The 7,677-nt window shown below is 37.7% G+C and overlaps 1 protein-coding gene across 2 annotated transcripts in view; it reads right to left on the reverse strand.

Annotated features, from left to right (window-relative positions):
- NSMCE1 (NSE1 component of SMC5/6 complex) overlaps window positions 1–7,677 on the reverse strand; it is a 43,779-nt gene that overhangs the window by 34,969 nt on the left and 1,133 nt on the right. The gene's annotated exons all lie outside the window — the stretch shown is intronic.

The following is a 7,677-nucleotide window of genomic DNA, read 5'->3' on the forward strand; positions in this document are numbered from 1 at the left end:
AACAAAAAACTGAAAGAGCAAGTGACCAGCAGGTGCTCCCTAAAGGAAATTCCAAAGCATATAGTTCAGGAAGAAAGAAAGGGATACAAGTTGGAAGGTCTAAAATGCAGGGTAGAATAAAGAGCAAAAAAAGTTGGTAAATATGTGGTTAAATCCAAGTTAACTGTATAAAACAGTAAAAATCAGAAGAAATGCTTCTATCTTTAAAAAAAAGTTTTTAATACCACAGTAAAAAGAATGAGGTTTTTAAAAAACTAAATACACAAAAATAATAACATAAATGGGAGGTGAGCAATCACTGGGATTAGTGTTCTAATAGCCTTGTGATGGTCAGGAGTAGAAGCTGGACATGAATAAATTTTACACTTGCATTTTACAATTTCTAGAGTAACAACTTTTAAAAAAACAAATAGTGTATATAATTTCCAAATAGTAAAGGGGAATAATGTAATGAGAAAAAATAATGGAAAGGAAAACCAGGATAGGAAAAACAAACACAAAAAAACAAAGTAAGTCAGGAGAAATAATCCAACTAGATTAGTAATAACAATGAATAAAAATAGACTAAATGTTCCAGCTTAAAGACAAGGACTGTTAGACCAGATTTAAAACCTTATCAAATTAATAATGAATAAAATCTACCTCTATATTATAAGAGTTCCTTATAGGCTGGGCACAGTGAGCCCAGGAGTTCAAAACCAGCTTGAGCAACATGGCAAAATCCCATCTCCACAAAAAACACAAAAATTAGCTGGGCATAGTGGCACACCTCCGTAGTCCCAGCTATTTAGGAGGCTGAGGTGGGAAGATTGCTTGAGCCTGGGAGGTCGAGGCTGCAGTGAACCGTGATCACACCACTGCACTCCAGGCTGGGCAACAGAGTGAGACCCTGTCTCAAAAAAAAAAAAAAAAAGGTTGCGGGGGCTGGTCGTGGTGGCTCACACCTATAATCCTAGCACTTTGAGAGGCCAAGGCAGGTCAATCACCTGAGGTCAGGAGGTGGAGACCAGCCTGGTTAACATGGTGAAACCCCATCTCTACTAAAAATACAAAAATTAGCCAGGCATGGTGGTGCGTGCCTATAGTCCCAACTACTCGGGAGGCTGAGGCATGAGAATCGCTGGAACATGGGAGGCAGAGGTTGCAGCGAGCTGAGATGGCACCATTGCACTCCAGCCTGGGTGACAAAGCAAGACTCCGTCTCAAAAAAAAAAAAAAAAAGAAACTATAAAAAGAACTACAAATTAAATCCAAAGAAAGGTAAAATGAGAAAATAATAAAGGGCAGAAATTAATAAAGACTGAAAATAAGCATATATCTAAGGTCAACAAAACCAAAACTATTCTTTGAAAAAACATAATAAAAGTGAAAAACTTCTGACAAGATTTTCCAAGAGCTAAAACTTATAAACAAACAATATTTGAAAAAAAAGGAAATTAACTGCAAATGAGACAAATATCTGCAATTAACATACTTAAAAATATTATCAATAATTTATAATAATCTGAAATTTAACTATGTAAAAAGTCATAGGAAATTTATTCAAAACTAATGAATGAATTATCTGAAAACCTAAACACTCCTATAACCATTAATGACATTTTATAGAAAATCCATCTTCTCACAAAGAAAACTTCAGGTCCCAATGACTTTATCAAGAAGTTCTACCAAATAGTCTAAAAACAAATAATTTCAAATGTTACACAATCGCAGCGCCAGAAAAAAAGCAAACCCTCCCCAACCCATCTGACAAGGCTAACCTAATTTGGCCCTGAAACCTAACAAGGATGTCAAAAGAAAGGAAAATTACAAGCCAGTATCTTTCATGAACACAGCTACAGTATGTCCTAAGCAAAATGCTAACAAACTTAATCCAGATATGTAAAAGGAATGACATATCATCACTTAGGTTTATTCCAGCAATGGTTTCACATCTAAAAATCAATCAATGTGAGTCACCACATTAATAAAGGAAAAAGCATTTTAAAATTCACACAGGGCCGAGCGCGGTGGCTCATGCCTGTAATCCCAGCACTTTGGGAGGCCAAGGCGGGCAGATCACCTGAGGTCAGGAGTTAAGAGGCTAGCCTGGCCAACATGATGAAACTCTGTCGCTACCAAAAATACAAAAATTGGTTGGGCGGGGTGGCACGCGCCTGTAATCCCAGCTACTCAGGAAGCTGAGGCAGGAGAATCGCTTGAACCTGGGAGGCGGGGGTTGCAGTGAGCCAAGATCACGCCATTGCACTCCAGCCTGAGCAACAGAGTGAGACTTCATCTCAAAAAAAAAAAAAAAAAATCACATGGAACCAAAACAGAGCCTGAATAGCGAAAGCAATCCTAAGCAAAAAGAACAAAGCTGGAGGCATCACGTTACCCGACTTCAAACTACACTACAGGGCTAAACAGCATGGTGCTGGTACAGAAACAGGCACATACACCAATGGAACAGAATAGAGAGCCCAAAATTAAGGCCATACACCTATGACCACCTGATCCTTGACAAAGATGACAAAAAGAAGCAATGGGAAAAAGACTCCCTATTCAATAAATGGTGCTAGTATAAGTGGCTAGCCATATGTGAAGACTGAGGCTGGACCCCTTCCTTACAGCACATACAGGAATCAATTCAAGATGGATTAAAGACTTAAATGTAAGACCTAAAACTATAAAATCCCTGGAAGACAACCTAGGCAATACCATCCTGGACACAGGAACGGGCAAAGATCTCACGACAAAGACACCAAAAGCAATCACAATGAAAGCAGAAATTGACAAATGAGATCTAATTAAACTTAAGAGCTTCTGCACAGCAAAAGAAACTATCAACAGAGTAAACAGACAACCTACAGAATGGGAGAAAATATTTGCAAACTATTTACGAGAGAAAATCAAACAACCCCATTAAAAACTGGGCAAAGGACATGAACCAACATTTTTCAAAAAGAAGACATACATGTGGTCAACAAGCATATGAAAAAAAAGCTCAGTATCACTGATCATTAGAGAAATGCAAATCAAAACCACAATGAGATACCATCTCACATCAGTCAGAATGGCTATTATCAAAATGTCAAAAAATAACAGATGCTGGCAAGGTTGCAGAGAAAAGGGAAACTTATATACTGTTGGAGGGAGTGTAAATTAGTTAAACCACTGTAGAAAGCAGTGTGGCAATTCCTCAAAGAGCTAAAAGCAGAACTACCATTTGACCCAGCAACCCCATTCCTGGGTATATACCAGAGGAACAGAAATATTCTACCATAAAGACACATGCACGGGAATGTTCACTGCAGCCCCATTCACAGAAGCAAAGACATGGAATCAACCTAAATGCCCATCAATGACAGACTGGATAAAGAAAATGTGGTACCTATACACCGTGGAACACTATGCAGCCATAAAGAAGAATGAGATGATGTCTTTTGCAGGAACATGGATGAAACTGGAGACTATTATCCTCTGCAAGCTAACACAGGAATAGAAAACCAAATACCACATGTTCTCACTTATAAGTGGGAGTTAAATGATGAAAACTTATGAACACAAGGAAGGAAACAACAGACACTGGGGTCTATTTGAGGATGGAGGGTGGGAGGAGGAAGAAGAGCAGAAAATATAACTATCGGGTACTGGACTTAATTCTTGGCTGATTAAAAAAGCTGTACAACAAACCCCTATGACGTGAGTTTACCTATCTAATAAACCTTCACGTGTGCTGCCAAACCTAAGTTTTTTTAAAAAAGCATATGATCATCTTAATGATGCAGAATATACAATTGATAAAATTCAACATGTACCTACACCAAAAACAAATTTGGAATCGAAGAAAACATCTTTTATCTACTAAGTGACGTCTACAAAAAACCTGCAGCAAACATCATACTGAAAAATGAAATGTTGGCAGCAATCACTTTAAAAACCAAATTGACCCAATGCAATTGAATCAATGCTATTACAGTCAGCATCCCAAGAGGCTTTGTGTATGTGTGTGTGTGATTTGACAAGATGATTCTAAAAATTTACATAGAAAACACAAAGGCAAAACAGCAAAGACATTCCTGGGAGAAAATAAAGGCAGAAGGACTTGTCCTACCAGCTATAAAGACTTCTCATATTTGCTGGGCGCGATGGCTCATGCCTGTAATCCCAGCACTTTGGGAGGCTGACGTGGGCAGATTGCTTGAGCCCAAGAGTTCAACACCAGCCTGGGCAATGTGGTGAAACCTTGTCTCTACTAAAAACAAAAATTAAAAAAAAAATCGCTGGGCATGATGGTATGCACCTGTAGTCCCAGGTACTCATGATACTGAGGTGGGAGGACTGCTTCAGCTCGGGATGTCGAGGCTACAGTGAGTCATGATTGCACCACTGCATTCCAGCCAGGATGACAGAGTAAGATCCTGTCTAAAAACAAACCAAAACAAAAAAAGCACTTCTTATAAAGCTAGAGTAACGAGTACAGTGTGGTAATGGTACAGAGATAGACAAATAAGACCAATCAATGGAACAGAACAGAGAACTCAGAAACGGAAAGGTATACATATATGGATACTTGATGGCGGATGAAAGCAAACTTTCCAATAAAAGGTGCCAGGAAAACTTGTTATCCATATGTAAAAAAATGAATAAAATTTGATTCTTACCTCATACTATATACAAACATCAATTCTGAAGGGATAAGGTCATAATAAGGAAAAATACTGTAAGACTTTTAGGCAATATAGAGAATATATTTATCACCTAAGGGTAGGGAAGGATTTCTTTAAGAGATATAAAAAGTACAGGTCATAAAGGAATATACTGATAAACTTGACTTTTGTTAAAATTAAGGGCCTCTATTCACCAAAAATACCAGAAAGGTGGGGGTTAGGGGATACAAACTGGAGGGCATTTAAAACAAACATAAGCTACAAAATACAAAAGATTCATATTCAGACTATATAAGGAATTCCTACAAATCAGCATGGGAAACACAACTGTAAAAGAGAAATGGGCAACAGAAATTTTACAAAAAGAGGATGCATAAATGATGAATAAATACAGAAAAAAGATGCTCAATCTCAATGTTATCAGACAAATGATTATGAAAACCACAGTGAAGGAATGTCTTAGCCACCACCAGACAGGCAAAAATTTTAAAAGAATGGCTGAGGCTGAAACTTTCATCTGCTGCTGGGAGAGTATAAATTCTTTTCCTTTTTTTTTTTTTTTTTTTTTTTTGAGACAGGGTCTCACTCTGTTGCCCAGGCTGGAATGAAGTGACACAGTCATAGCTCACTGCAGCCTTGACCTTGTGGGCTCAATCGATCCTCTGACCTCAGAACCCCCTAGCAGCTATGACTACAGGCACACACCACTATGCCCGGCTAATTTCTGTATTTTTTGTAGAGATGGGGTCTCACCTGTTGCCCCAGCTGGTCTCATACTCCTGGACTCAAGCGATCCACCCACCTCAGCCTCCCAAAGTGCTGGGATTACAGGTGTGAGCCACCACTCCAGGCTGAGTATAAATTATTGTAACCATTTCAGATAACAGTTGATATTACTAGCAAATTTGCATATCCCCCGAAATCTACTATTAGGTATATACCTTACAGAAACTTCCACATTTGCCCTAGGAGATATGTTTTTACAGAAGCACCTTGTAATAACAAAAGTCTGGCAACAGTATAAATGCCTACCAACTGAAGAACTACATTAAAACAATATAATCATCCCATAGAATTCAAATCAGCAATGAAGACAAAGTAGAGCTCCTCACATCAACACGCATACTTCTCAGAAAGATAATGTTAAGTGCAACAAGCAAGTCACACAAAATATATTTTAGGATCCTATTACATAAAATCGAAAACTCAGCAAAAGCATACATTCATTCATTAGAAATACACACATACATGGTAAAAACTACAAAGCAAAACAAGGCAACAAGTAACACAATATTCAGGGCGGTGGTTATCTTTGAGGAGGGAAGAAAGGATTCAGTGGAGGGTCTGGCAATCTGAAAATGTCTATTTCTTAACTTGGTGGCAGGTACATGAGTGTTCATTTTATTTTTGTTCTTCAAACTTACACTTCCACACAATTGTATAGGTATGTTACATACAATGTTTTTAAATGTGATGGGCTGGGCATGGTGATTCACACCTGTAATCTCAATACTTTGGGAGGTCAAGGCGGGAGGACTGCTTGAGGCCAGGAGTTTAAGACCAGCCTGGGCAACATAGCAAGATCCACTCTCAACAACAACAACAACAACAAAATAATGTGAATATGTTAAATAACAGCCAAAATAAATGTAAATGAGAATGAGAACAGGATAGGATTGAATGCTATAATTTGGTGGAAAAGGAGTGGGAAAAGTAGGAGTGGAAGAAAGACAACCATAAGCTTGTTTATGCATATTATGTCCCTTGTCTCTATGAGAAGAGACTGTAGGGAGAATGGTGGGATTAGCATAGACATGTATTACCTACTTAAATAATTTTATTTTATACAAAAATCAGCCAGGCGTGGTGGTGCACGCCTGTAATCCCAGCTACTCAGAAGGCTAAGGCAGGAGAATCGCTTGAACCCAGGAGGTGGAGGTTGCAGTGAGCCAAGATCGCGTCACTGCACTCTAGCCTGGGCGACAGGGCGAGACTCTGTCACAAAAAGAAAAAAAAAATTACTTTTTTTAAAAAAATTAATTAAAACAGTTTATTGGCTTTAAATGTACATCAGTAAATTTTTAAATGCTAAAAAGTTATGATAAAATAATACAGAACCAAAACATCAAAGAAAATAGAGGCTCAGCAGCATGATTTCAATATATTTTCCCGGATAAACAGATTTTTTTTCTAAGTATATGCCTTTTTATTCAAGAACAAAAACTCCCTAAATTCAATGTTTAGAACTGAATTTTTTTTAACTAAGCCCAGAAAACTGGGGCTCATAAAATAAGGCATAATGTGGGCAGCAAAAGAAAAAAGGAGAAAAAAAATGGGAGAAAAATTGGTTTTAATCCCATGTATAATATAGGTTGGCTGGTTTTGTTTTTGTTTTAGCCAATTTAAGGCAGAATTATCTCTCTGCAACCTTGCAGATAAATCCTAGTGTTTTAGCCATAAGTTTCAAGAGTTCATATATACAGATAAACCAATTAAAAAAACCTTTTCGAAGGCTTTTGAAGCATTATATAAATCTTTAAAATTCCTATCACCCACATTTTAAGAAATACATCTATACGTTTAAATTTATTATTAAATTAATTAAATGCATTAATTAAATCAATTTATTTAAATTTAATAATTTTAAAATAGAAATGTTTGTGGAATAAGTAAATCTCAGTCATACCATTCGTGCGGGTGCTAACACAATTCTAGTGCTTCACATGCCCGACCTCATTTAACCCAAACCAGAACAACCTTATGAGCAAAGGGTCACTGACCCCATCTTACAGATGAGGAAACTGAGACTAAGAGGGCACAAGGTGACACACAAGAGTTGGTGGCAGAGATAGACGTGACCATACAACAGCACAGTTCCTGTTTTCAAGGACACTCTCTATCCAGCGAGAGTGAGAAAAGTGAGTGAACAGAACAACTACAATCCAGGTCCCTCATCTGCAACCCTCAAATCTAAAAAGGTATGAATACTAGTGGATGATCGGATGCAGGGGAAAAAAAAAAAAAA

The sequence above is a fragment of the Homo sapiens genome, chromosome 16 (assembly GCF_000001405.40).
Source record: "Homo sapiens chromosome 16, GRCh38.p14 Primary Assembly".
NCBI classification, from domain to species: Eukaryota; Metazoa; Chordata; class Mammalia; order Primates; family Hominidae; genus Homo; species Homo sapiens.